At 43.7% G+C, this 13843-nt stretch overlaps 1 protein-coding gene across 15 annotated transcripts in view; it reads right to left on the bottom strand.

Moving 5' to 3' along the window:
- LAMA3 (laminin subunit alpha 3) overlaps positions 1–13843 on the bottom strand; it is a 265614-nt gene that overhangs the window by 13151 nt on the left and 238620 nt on the right. For all 15 annotated transcript variants that reach the window (XM_011525978.3, XM_011525982.3, XM_011525980.3 and 12 more), the window contains 6 exons: positions 13676–13793; positions 13151–13291; positions 10715–10854; positions 9625–9756; positions 7981–8134; positions 2530–2693 (listed from right to left, as the gene is read on the bottom strand). In XM_011525978.3, coding sequence (XP_011524280.1) covers positions 2530–2693; positions 7981–8134; positions 9625–9756; positions 10715–10854; positions 13151–13291; positions 13676–13793 — 849 coding nt within the window. The remainder of the gene's footprint in view (positions 1–2529; positions 2694–7980; positions 8135–9624; positions 9757–10714; positions 10855–13150; positions 13292–13675; positions 13794–13843) is intronic.

Below are 13843 nucleotides of genomic sequence, written 5' to 3'. Positions count from 1 at the left end.
GAGGGGTAGCCAAGTTAAGGAGGATATTAGAACGTGCTGCAGAATAGAATGTACTTTCCATATGTGGGCCTGGTGATCAGATTTGACATTTGCTTTCCAGAACTGTTTCCTAAAGCAACTTTCTTTCATAAAAGACTAACTGACTAACACCCAAAAAAAGGCAGCAGTGGATTCAGATCCCAGTACATGATACTGTAGCTATGACTCTTCATTGCTGGAGGATGGGAGGGTAGGGCAGAGAGCTAAAGAGCATTTTTATACATTCACCAAAGGGGTAAAGCAATGGCACCAGTTTAAAGGAGTGTCAGAACACTGCTAGAATGTAAATCAGAATGAGAACAACAGAATCCTCCAACTCTTACAACTTTCTGAAAATAACTGATTGCTACAACATTTGGGGCTAAAATATAAGTTGAAAATTATATTTACTGTTTGACTTTTTAAAAAATTTTACCTTTTAAAATGTTACTTTTTCATTAATGATGTACGGTTTAATGTTGGACGGGAAGGCACAGGGGTTGAATCGTTAGAAGTTGGTAACTCACTGCACTGAATGTGTTGAGAGAGAAGCTGCCGGGCGGGGGGGGGGCGCCAAGCTGATGGAGAGGCCACAAGGGGGAGGCCAGAGGCGGGAGGCTGGGGAAAGGGGCCTCCAGGCAGTTTCTTGAAAGAGAGAGGTTGGCCGGGCGCGGTGGCTCACGCCTGTAATCCCAGCACTTTGGGAGGCCGAGGTGGGCGGATCACGAGGTCAGGAGTTCGAGACCAGCCTGACCAACATAGTGAAACCCCATCTCTAATAAAAATACAAAAAAATTAGCCGGGCGTGGTGGCGGGTGCCTATAGTCCCAGCTACTCAGGAGGCTGAGGCAGGAGAATAGTGTGAACCCAGGAGGTGGAAGTTGCAGTGAGCCAAGTCGCACCACTGTACTCCAGCCTGGGTGACAGAGTGATATTCCGTCTCAAAAAAAAAAAAAAAGAAAAGAAAGAGGGAGGTCATTGTCATTAAGGTCAGCTTGACCAAGAGAGCAGGGGTGGGGAGTGGGGCCTCCCTACCAAGGAGTAGCCAGGGGAGGGGACAACTGGAGGGACAATCTCCTCTCCTTCTGCCTTAGCTTCTACTAGCACAGTTTTGGAAAATGAGGGACCCCAAGACTTTGCATGGGGCAGCTGGAGACGTGGAGCTGTCCACACAGGCTTTCTCCTTCAGAGCTTGGCAGTCAATCTCTCTCTGACCTTTACCTCTCTCTGCCTGTGATGCATGCTCACAGCTTGCTGAGTGGGCTTCAAGGGCCAGCCTCCTTATAAGCTATGACCTCTCCTCCCTGCAAGAAAAGCATCATCGAGCCCATTTAACTAACAGGAAAATTGAGGTCCAGAGAGAGGTAGCAATCTGCTAACACGCAAGACAGGCATAGAGGGACAGCTTAGGCTTAGAGAAGTTAAACGGCATGTGGCAGCCATGAAGTCGTGCTCCAAGAGAAGCTGCTGCAGGGAGCACAGTGGGGCTGCCATGCCCTAGGTCTTCAGTGACACTCGGGGGTATTAGAGCCGGGCCATTTATAGCCAACACTGAGCTCTTCTCAGAGATGATCTCTGCTTGGGGGCACTGCAGGCACCTGGCTGAGACTGTGTTACAGTCTGTGGACTGCGACCCGAGGCCCTTCCTACCCGGCTCTGTCCTCCCTGCGCCCTCCCCTCACAGTATCTGCAGGCCCACAGCCATCTGCGGGCTCTCCCTGCCTGCCCCCATCTCTGTCCCCTTCTGGTCATCTCTCACAGGCTTCCCCACAATGAACCTCTTGCCCATCTAATCCCATCTTAGTGTCTGTGTCTCAGAGGGGCTGCCCTGGCACATGGTCTGGAGTCACCCAGCCAGTAAGTGGTGAAGCAGGACTGAAAGCCAGATGTTAGAGCCAGCTCCTTTTAGCCCCCCGGGCAATTCTGCCTCTGTGGGAAAGCCGTGAAGAAAAGGTCAGTACCTTTTTATCTATGGCTCCTTCAAATCACCTGAAAATGACAAATCTTGTTTTTCTAATTTTTTTCTGACATAATTAATATTTCTGCTCATTCCCGCCTCCCCAAAAGAGGTGCAACTTGTTAGCGCAAAAAGGCCAAATGTATTCTCTAAAAATGATCTATCTGGCACTGCGTCTACCAAAAAAGAATGATTTTACTTTCACTACAGAATACAAGAAAAGAAAGGTGATTTATCATGGAAATAAACAGCAGCTTTAGAAAAAAAATGTCATCCTTATTTTTAGAACACCATCAATTCTAAACCAGACCTGAGCTGATTGTTTCAGCCTCTGAGAAGTACACTGTCGTCACGTTTGCCTCCAGCTGTTGGGAAAGCACATGGCAGGCAATCACGCTCCCTGTCCTGTGCAGGCCAGCACCTCTTTGCACAAAAATGGTAGTGCCACCTTCATTAGAGAGAGCTGCATGGTGTCATGGCAGTCAGACTTCCCTGAGGTGGAATCGCAGAGTCAGGTTCTGAGCTGGTGCTGGGGCAGGAAAGCTAAATAATACCTGGGTTTCAGCAGCTCCTGAGGAAGCTTGAATAGCAAGTGGCTGGTGGGAATGTCCCCAAACTGGAGGGCTCCATGATTGGCCTGGGTCTTGGGAAGTGGTGAGCAAGCATCTTGCCACACCTTCACGCTCCTTGGGGAGGCCACTGGTGTGTCCTGCAACAGCTGCATGGGAAAAGAGCAACACAATTATCAGGGGAAAGAGTGAAGAATGCTTATCTTGCTAAGTACATTGCTTAATTTTCACCCTTGATCCTAAGTGAGGAATTCAGTAGGGCAATAGAAGGCCTGGTACCATGGAGATGGGAAGTTTCCGCTGAGAGCCCTTCCTGCGGGTCACTGACTGGTATGGAGTGGGCAGAATGGAGAGCTCATTCTTTATTTAGCTCTTTAACCTTTCCCGAAGCCAGATCCTCGTAATCCCCTTCAATGCCCTAGTGTGGCTTTGATTTGTGAGCATTTTGCCACCAGGAAGGTGTAAGACAGGGCTAGGAGGCAGAGGGGCTCATTCTTTTGGGGAAAACAAAGTTTAGGAGAGTCTAAATACCCCCCCTTTCTCTCCCTCCTTTGGGGAGCATGCCTGTTATTCTCATCTTACACAAGTCTGGGTTCTTCTCTGAAAGCTGCCGCACCTGGGACCAGTGGCTGCCTGGTGCCCCTTTCCACCACTGAGCATTGGAAGAACTGCAGTGTCGCTTGAGGGGGCCAGCATTTGGCCAGCGGCACCGAGACACCCACAGCCTGCCAGTGAAACATGGAACTGCAAACCTGTGGCCACCTCCCCTAACAACCATTCACTTGGGCAACAGGGCAGGTGAAAGGACCAAGATAGCAGGAGAGAAAGAGAAGGGAGGGGACCACATCCTGTCCCCACTTCCACCAGAGTTGACTCATGCAGAGAAGTTTGAACTTTTGAATGGGACTGAGTTTTAATGCAGAAAAACAACCATAATAAATGTTAAATGTGACTAGGAAAATTGTTGGAAGTAACTGAGATTCCCCAGCCCTGCCCCTCTTTTCTCCACCGCAGAGCTCAAGTTCTGAAATGCCCATGCGCTTTTCCCAGGCGCTCAGAGCTCAGTGGGGATCTCCATCAGTCAAAGCAAAGGGTAGGGATTCACCGTACTAGGGGTTGGTTCAGAAATAAACACGTGACCCCTCCCTGCTGGCCAATGAGCCCTGAGAGGAAGCTGAAGGCGGGGCTTCTGGTAAATAATTCCATATTAGCACGAAGAGAAACCCAGGCAGAACTGGTGCTTCTTGTGCTGGATGGTGTGGTGCGGATGTGATTCCCAGAAGCACCCAGGATGGAGCCAAGAGGACCAAGAGGAAGCAGAGCCAACTCCTGATGGGCCAGGCCTCAAGCCTCACCTACCCCTGCATGGCTCACTGTGTGAGATTATTATTATTGTTTAAGTCATTAATTTTGCAGTGGGTTTTCTGATTCAGCAGCTAAAGGCTTCCCAAAAGATTCACATTCCTTCAGGAGTGGGTTTTCTTCCCTGACCCATTTCCTGGATATAGTGCTCAGAACGCAAACTTGAAATCAGTTATTTAAAATGATGCTTGCACGTTGCTGAATGGAGACGTTCTACTGTACCCAACAGAAACTTAAGTGAGTTACTTATATCAGCCAAACCTTGATCCTACTGAGATTAAAACCCAGCCTGGGCTCCTGCCTGGGACTCATACCAGTGGGCCTTGCTCCCTCTCTGGAGTCTTCTCCGTGTGTCAGCAGCATAAGCATCAAGATGAACAGTTTTGAAAGACAGCCTTTGCCACCAAATGTCCCTTAATTCTCTTAATGGCATCATCATCCTTTAAAGCATCCAGGCTCAAAATCTTGGTCCTCATGGACACCCGCCTCCCTGGCCTCTATCATGCATTCAGGCATTCAGTTCTCATGTCCTACTCTTCTTCTGTGTGACATATTTTGTTTCCACTCCTTCCTTTTCATTTCTAGTGCCTATGCCCTGAAAGTCAGCCCTCTTTTTTTTTTTTTTTTTTTTTTTTTTTGCTTTTGAGAAGGAGTCTCACTCTGTTGCCCGGGCTGCAGTGCAGTGGCGCGATCTCAGCTCACTGCAACCTCCACCTCCCGGGTTCAAGTGATTCTCCTGCCTCAGCCTCCCCAGTGGCTGGGATTACAGGTGCCTACCACCAAGCCGGGCTAATTTTTGTATTTTAAGTAGAGACGGGGTTTCACCATGTTGGCCAGGCTGGTCTTGAACTCCTGACCTCAGGTGATTTGCCTGCCTTGGCCTCCCAAAGTGCTGGGATTACAGGTGTGACCCACCTTGCCCAGCCAGCCCCGACTCTTTTGCCTAGATGATTACGGTAGCTTGCCAATCTGACTCCTTGGCTCTAGAACTTTCCTACACCAAACCATCCCACAGGCTGCTACCAGCTTAGTAATCTTTAATCTTTTCAGCTGTTTACAGGACTCCTTTCAATGACGTTACACTGACTATAGAAAAATGTCCAATTGATGTAGGTCATATGAGGCTTGCCTGATCTGGCCCCAGGGTGTGATTCCAGTTTACCTCTCTCTAGTCTCCTTTCTCCATTCCCACTGTTCACCAGGCTCTCGGGCCTGTAGAGGCCACATGATGTGGCTTGAAGAGCACATTCTTTGTGCTTAAGTTTGAATCTTGTGTTCTTCTTGTGCTTCTGGGAATCACATCCTCACTACACTGTCCAACACAAGAAGCATGGATTCTGCCTGGGTTTCTCTTTGTGCTAACATGGAATTCTTTATCAGAAGCCACGCCCTCAACTTCCTCTCAGGGCTCATTGTCCAGGAGGGAGGGGTCACATGTCCATTTCTGAACCAACCCCTAGTAAGGTGAATCCCCACCCTTCGCTTTAACTGATGGAGATCCCCACTGAGCTCTGAGTGCCTGGGAGAAGAGCACGTTCTTTGTGCTTAAGAGTCTTAAGTTTGAACACTTGGACACAGGAAGGGGAACGTCACACACCAGGGCCTGTAGTGGGGTGGGGGAGGGGGGAGGGATAGCATTAGGAGATATACCTAATGTAAATGACGAGTTAATGGGTGCAGCACACCAACATGACACATGTATACATATGTAACAAACCTGCACGTTGTGCACATGTACCCTAGAACTTAAAGTATAATAAAAAATATATATATATAAAAAGAAAAAATAAAAATAAAAATTTAGTTAATATGGAAAAAAAAGAGTCTTAAGTTTGAATCCTGACTCTACCATTTACTGACAGGATGCTCTTTGGCAACTTTTTTTTTAACCTCTTAGACACTCAATTTCCTGACCTGTAAGGTTGGCATTTGATTCTGCTCTCAGAGGGGTGTGTTGAGAAGGGAGAGAGAGAGCATGAAGTCAGTCTGGTGAGGATGCATGCAGCATGTCTTGCACCCGTGAGTCCCAGCCACATCCTGCCTCCAGCTTTGGGCTTCTGCTTGGGCAGCAACAATATTCACTCAGCTAAATTCGACCCACACTCCAGACCCAGTTCCTGGGGTACCTCCTCCAGAAGAACCCTCCTGATTCCCATGGTAGGAAAATTCCTGCCACACCACTCCTGTAGCATCTTATGCCCTTTCATTTAGGTTTTCATTAGCATGCATAGTAATAATAACTAGCATTTAATGCATACTTACTATGTGCCAGGCACTTTTCTAAGTATTTTGTGTTTATTACTTCATTTAATCCTCACATCAACATCATGAGGTATTACCATTATTTATCTTCATTTACATTGGAGCAAATAGACCCAGAGAGAGGTTTAATAATTGCCCAAGATCACATACCTAATAAATGGTAAAGCCGGATGCAAACCCAGGAAGTCTGACTCCAGAGTCCAGTACTTAACCACTAAGCTGTGCTGTATTCTCTCTGCTACTGGGCAGAGACTAATGTCCTATTCCATCCAAACTGGGGGCTTACGCAAAACAGGGGGAAATGAAAGTGTATTCGCTGACGTTTTCCACATTAATAGCCCCAGTCCCACCCTATCTGCTGAAGCCCACGCAGAGACTCCTGACAGTCTCCCACCAAATTTCTGCACCTGGGTGTCCTGCAGACTCCTGTCACTCAATACACCACAAACTCCATTCTCTTTTCCTCCAAATACGTGTCCTTCTCCTATCTCCATGGAGGGGACATCCCCATTCATCCAATAACCCAGACTGGGTGCCTCAGAATTATTTTAACTCCTGCCTCTCCCTTGTCTTCCCAATTCAATTATTGTCTGAGTCATGTGTATTCTATCCTGTAAATAGATTTGAATCCATTTGCTCTCTCCAGTTCACCATCACTGGGCTAATTTAGTCTCTCAATAACTTTCAGCCTTACAATGAAAAAGTGAATATATGACTTCAATTTTGATGGGGCAATTCTAAAGATGTTCCCATAATGGGAAAATGACAGCCCTTCTGGATTTATGAAGTATATTTCTTCTTAATAGCATAAAACATGTATTTTATTAGGTATTATCTGTTCATGCTCTCCCAAATCATTGTGCAGTGGGGAAATATTGGTAGAGAAGCAGCACGTGGTTGACATTAAGTGGAAAGTGTGTTGAACAGGAGCACATAGCTCTCAAGAGGCCACGGGCTCCTAGGTTGGAACTCCAACTCACCTTCCACCTGTGGGAGCTTGGGCAGAACTGCTTACCTTTCTGCACTGCAGCATAAGGTTATTGAAGGATTTGGTAAGAAAATCCATCTGGAGTGCATAGTGCAGTGCCTGGCAGATCCGAGGTGCCCACTGTTATCCATTAACCATATTAATTGTAACCTCAGACCTGGGAAAGTTACATTGTTGACCTTGAGCAGAGCAAGGAGCTCCTTAAACCCTGATCCTGTGTTCAACTCATCACAATGTTCTGCTCCTCCAAATAAGGAGTTTCATTTCCTCTCAGTCCCTCTGAGTGCTGTACTTCAGAATCACCTGGGGAGCTTCACAAACTACTGAGACACCCACTCCACGAGCATCTAACTTAATTGGGTCAGATGCAGCCTAAGCATTGGGGTGTTAAAGCTCCCCAGGTGTTTCTAGTCTGTAGTCAAGGGTACACCACGTATCTTGTCATAGGAGTTGCATCAGAACAGAGGGGAGGTCTATGGGCAGGAAGAGGAGCATGGCCCTTATATTCTATAGAAAAACATAGGACCTGCTGGGGACACAGCAGAAATGTTAAAACAGCAAGACATCAGCTACAGAAATTAAGAAACCTAAGTCATGGTTCTGTTCTGTGAGTGCAAAACTTGCCAACTTTTCATCAAGATGCGAAATACAAGCTAAAAAGAAAACCATTTTGACATTTTGGTGTGATTCAACTGTTGATAATGCATCAATCCCACTTTATGGACTGGTGAGCTCTCACCCCCTTCCCCAATATCTCCCACAAGGCAGGCTCAGGGGAATCCTCCAGGGAAGAGGGAAACCCAGGGTTAGGTTTGGACACTTACCTGGTTGATACGAAAAGTCTTGGTCTTGTTAAACCTGGTAGAACCTTTAAGCAACATTAGAAAAGGTGGTTTGTTTAAACTGCAGCCTCCCAGGGACACATCTCTCTTGAGAGAGTTACTGGTCAAATCTAGGACTTCAGGACTCAGTGATAACCTGGAAAAAGAGCAGAAATGAAAGATGCTGCCAAACTTGGACATGTCGAGGAAGACCCTCTGGTAGAGAGAGCTCATTTCAAAAAGTACATGTTTTGGGGATGAAGAGGGGTTGGTTAATGGGTACAAAAATGCAGTTAGATAGAAGGAATATGATCTAGTGTTTGGCAGCACAATAGGGTGACTCAAGTTAATGATGATTTATTGTATAATTTAAAATAGCTAGAGGAGAAGATTTGGAATGTTCCCAACACAAAGAAATGATGAATGCTTGAAATGAAGCACATTCCAGTTACCCAGATTTGATCATTACACATTGTAGAACTGTATCAAAATATCACATGTAACCCATAAATGTGTATTAATACAACTGTTATGTATCCATGATTTTTTTAAAAATTACACATTCTTATGGTCATGGTTCCTAGGGAAACTTTCATCTCCTACTTTAATATCACCTCTAGAAGCCGGCGAGGAGCCCAAGAAACCTTTATTGACTTGGGATTGTGGCAGAATTGTGGGAGGGCCGGGATACTATAGTTCTTTCTTTGAAATGGGTGTCATGTGGAAATACGAACGTAAAATATGCACAGAGGGAGAAGATGGGCACTGGATGATACTGAATGATGGTAAATATAAGGAAACTTCAGAGGTGAGTTTATGGAAGGATTTATCTGACTATGAGGAGGAAAGTCTTGGACAAATTTGCTTTATCTCACGATTCTTGTCCAAGCCTTATCATGGCAGTAAGCTGTTGCTAACAACCCCTGGGCCTTCCCCATCCCTCCCACCTCCTGCTCCAATCCCTGAATTAGATGTTCAAGGAAGATGTTTCATCAACCAGGAGGGAAATGAGAACTCTAAGCCTCATCCTGGCCAAGGAGGATGGAGCCCTGATGGGTGGGAGGCTCCCTGTCATGGTAGCCTGAGAATTCCAGCCTGAGATTCATAGCCAGAACCAGGCCCTCTCCTTACCCTGGAGAAGATTTTGCCTCTTATCTAAAAACAATAATTTTGTATCAAAAAAAATATGTAAACACTTGCATGGAAGCCCCAAGAGCTACTCTCTCTCTATTAAATATCACGTTCAACATTGTGGTGATTTGGTTTCCTAGCACAGCACTGGTCCATGCAGTTCCTTGGCCTTGAAAACCGTGGAGAGCTGATTAAATCTAATTGCACAATCTTGATTATAATGCAATAAAATTCCAGTGAATACTTTTCCGGGCCATAATCTGAAGTTAATTTTAATTAGGTCTTTTCCAAGGTTACATGCTAACGCTGCTCCTCCAAAAGGAGGCCGGGCCCAGGAGTTTTTTATGGGTTTTTTAATGGGTGTATCTTGCCAAAGATGGCATTTTGAAAGACTGTGGTATGCGGGTCTCGTGCAGCACATGTTGACAAAGCTGACTTTGTTAACTGGACCAAAGAGATACCCTTCCCATGGGCAGGCCGTTCTCATCAGTTACCCACAAAGAGAGGATCACCTACCTCTGGACAAAAACATTGCTAATACAACCCTCAAAATTGCTCCCGCCCAGACGCAGAGACTGCCGGGAACTTGAAATGTGTTTTAGCCTTTTGCTATTTCTCAGAAGCTGGTCATCGATGAGAAGCCGTAGTCTGAAAGGGAAGAAAAGCAAATCATGGGTGAGAACTGCTGGAAAAAAGGGCCCTTGCCATGTGGCCAACTCACTGTCTAAGACTCAGATTCAATATTTGTTATCTAAAATAACTAGTGAAACTAGACTTTATTTTTAAAGAGCATTACAACTTTTTTCATGTATTTTCTTTTGCACATCACATTTTTATTAAAATGGGTGTATCTTGCCAAAGATGGCGTTTTGAAAGACTGTGTTATGAGAGCCTCATGTACAGAAAGTGCACAGGCTATAAGTGTTCAGCTCAACGAATTTTTGCAACAGAAATACACCAACATTACCAGCACCCAGAAAAAGAAACGGAACAGAGTAGCACCCCAGGTACCCTGTTGTGCATTCCCTTTAACCCTATAGCCTCCCTCCCTCTATCCTGAATTCTGATGGAATGGATTAGTTCTTGCCTGTTTTTGAACTTTGTATAAAGGAAATCATATGAGATGAACTTTTATGTGTGACTCAATGTTTTCCACATTATGTTTGTGAGGGTCATTCATGTCATTACATATAGTTCTAGATCCTTCTTTCTCATTGCTATATAGCATTCCATTTGAATACACCACAATTTATCCATCCAACTGATTTATTTTTAAAATTTTATTTATTTACATTTTATTTTATTTTAGTTTTCGTAGAGACATGGTTTCACTGTGTTTCCAAGACTGGTCTCGAACTCTTGGCCTCAAGCAACCCTCTTGCCTCAGCCTTCTTAGTTGTTGGGATTACAGACATGAGCCACCATGTGTGGCAGTTTATTTTTTTATGAAGAAATTGATATGGAAAAAGGAAGAAGGACAAGACTTATTAGTGAAGTATTTTTGGTATCAAGGACAAATATTTTGCAAAAAGACACCAGAAAATTCCATTAAACGAAAGAGAGTAAAACTCACTCACAGCTCTGACAGAAGTATTATTCCACTCACCCAGAGTTGTCGCTTATTACAGATACATAATGCAGTAAACCATCCATATACGTCTGTGGAGATTTAAAAATTGGGCCGCCGCTATCGCTGGTGCTCAATTCAATGTAACCATCTTCCAGAGTGACCTGCAGGTTCCTTGTCTGAAATCACCATAGAAAATACCCATCAACTAATTTGCATATAAGGATTATGCCTGTATCTTTACTGAATTTATCATCCAAACCATGTATAAAACAATCAGGATGTTTTGACCCAAATGCTTTGAGTTTGCTTTTTGCTCTAAAGATTATTTTTTGCATATTTGACTCCATGTTTATAAATATAAAAATCTTATGCAAATTATGTCAACACCAATGAATTTGTCAAAATCATTTTTTGGACCTACATTCATTAAGCCAATTTAATTTCTCAATCGACTATACAAAACAGTTAAATCATTTCTAAATTTTTATATTTTATCTTATTATTATTATTATTTGAGACAGAGTCTTGCTGTCTTGCATAGGCTAGAGTACAGTGGCACTGTTCCAGGCTCAAGCGATCCTCCCACCTCAGCCTCCTGAGAAGCTGGGACCACAGGCGCACACCACCACAGCCGGCTAAGTTTGTAATTTTTTGTAGAGACAGGATCTCACTATGTTCCCTAGGCTGGTCTCAGACCCCTGGGCTCAAGAGATACTCCTGGCTTGGCCTCCCAAGGTGCTGGGATTACAGGTGTGAGCCGTCATGCCCAGTCTAAATTTTTCTATTTTTATTTTTCTTTGGCTGAAGTTATTTCTATCGGATCAATTCATTGCTAAATAAATTTTACAGCAAAGACTCGATTCCTCAATTTTTAATATAAGAATATTACAATGATTTCTTCTCTTCAGTCATTATAAATTTTTTATTTCCTAGTCATTATTTTTGGGAAGTCCAATTCTCCATGTTGAACTCTGAAGATGTAAATTTGGGCAAGATAATTTGACTCTTCCTGTCAATCATTAATTTAAAAAATGTGCAATCTCAGCACTTGTCATTTCAATTTTGTTTGTGTTTTTTCTACCAAGTATAATTTCTGCAGTTTTCAACAAGATGTGATTCTTTGGTAAGATTTCAGTCTAAAACAAGTTTTACAGTGTGTGGTTATAGCCATTGTTGATTTTACTTTGTGTTGACTTTTTTTCAATTGGCAATATTCATTATGAATTGCATAAACTAATGCTAACTTATATGTATCTTTAGCTAACCCATTATGAAATTGAGGGCAATGTCCCTATGCTATATCCAGGATTCCCCCATTGTCCAGGGCGGATCTAATCTTTTGCTAACCTAATTCTTCCATCTGCTCTCGATCATTTTGTGAATTGTGTACTAAGTGTTCCTACACGTGGCAGAGGAAACAAGTGTTAGGTATCATAAGAGCTAGATCAAAACATCCTGCTTTCATGGAAAAGCCACCCCTATAGTCTAAGTGTTAGCATGTGCTTCTTTAGGGCTCATTTTAAAAATAAAACCTCAAGGACTGGTGAGCAAGCCACCAAGAGAGGGGTGGCCTTCCTGATATTACAGAGCTACAGAGTCAGCCACCAAGAGAGGGGCAGCCTTCCTAATATTACAGAGCCACAGAGTCAGCCACCAAGAGAGGGGCGGCCTTCCTAGTATTACAGAGCCACAGAGTCAGCCACCAAGAGAGGGGCGGCCTTCCTGATATTACAGAGCCACAGAGTCAGCCACCAGCCATTTTCTTGACAGATACTAGAAGTCTGCTGTGCTCTGCAATCCTAAAGAAACAAATTCAGAAATAATCATACTCTACTTCTATTTAAAAATTCCACTCATTCCACAAATATTCATTTCTAAATATTAGGTGACTTCTGTATCTACATAACCACACTAGCTAAATCTGCTTAAGTTACAGATGGTATCTCCTTGTGGAAGAGAATTTATGTGGCTCTGTTGTACATGAGGAAAGAGAAAAGGATCTTATTTTCTCCAATTCCCCAGGTATAAATATTGTCCAACTAGCTGCTGCTGCTGCTGCTGCAAAAAGGCAATCTGGAGAGAGCTACCTTTAATGCAATCAAAAAGAAATCATAGGGACACACTCTGATTTTCTTTCTGAGCTCTGAAACTTTAAGCTACATTATTAACTACAGTAGTTATAATCCACCTTAACTCTTATTATAAAATATACCTGAAAAGAATAAAAATGAGTCCGCGAGTACACACAAATGCAACTCTGTAAATTATAATGTTACTTTCTAAACTTGATTTCTTTGAGGACCTACCCCAGAGTGGGGAATAACGTTTATGGTTGAACTATACAATAGCATTTACTGTGTGATGATAGAAAAAATGTACAACTCCACCACTTTCTAAATCTCTCTGTTGTTTTTAACATCAAACTTTGAGTCAGGTTTAAATCTTGTTTGATATTAATGCACTACTGCATACCCATGTCTGATGATCTAATAATATGCCACTGGGTTGAAAGGTCTGAAATCCAAATGAGGCCTGGAGGTGGTCAGTAGGTGGTAAGCCCAAATCAGTGAAACTCAATTGTCCTCCTCTGGAGAATGAGGCAGATCGCACAAGCTGAAATGCAAACATGGAATAAATTACTGGCATTGTAATCATTTCTTGGCTGAAATACAGTACCTTACCCTATCTCACTTTACTCAAACTGATTAATGTGATTTATGTAACCTCAGAAAGAAAGAGAGCTTACTTTTCTGCATAATAAGTCAGCAATCATCTGTAAGTTTTTGTGTATATAGTTGGTCTTCCTACTTTCCTACAAAGTTAATGTGCAAACCTGAAAAGGTTCAGCATCTTGCAAGCACATGGGGAGTGTATATGAGCCAGTTCACTGTAACACTGTGTGCTATCAGAAAGAAGTCAAAAGTTGCTGCGTTAATGGATACGGAAGGTGGGTTGGCTGGGAAGCACTCCTTCACGAGGTTCTGAACTTTCACTTACCTTCCAGTCTTCCGAGCACTTTTTGGTTACTCCCACAGTATCATTCAATCTAACGACACCACTGGTTTTCTTCAAATTTTTCATGCAGCCTCGGAAAGCAGGCGTAGAAATGTTAAATCTGATTACGAACACAGATAAAAGGAAGAGATGGATCATGTCAGGCTCACG

The sequence above is a fragment of the Homo sapiens genome, chromosome 18 (genome assembly GCF_000001405.40).
Source record: "Homo sapiens chromosome 18, GRCh38.p14 Primary Assembly".
Classification (NCBI taxonomy): Eukaryota; Metazoa; Chordata; class Mammalia; order Primates; family Hominidae; genus Homo; species Homo sapiens.
The sequence above is the reverse complement of the archived record's forward strand: the minus strand, read 5'-3'. Positions and strand labels throughout refer to the sequence as shown.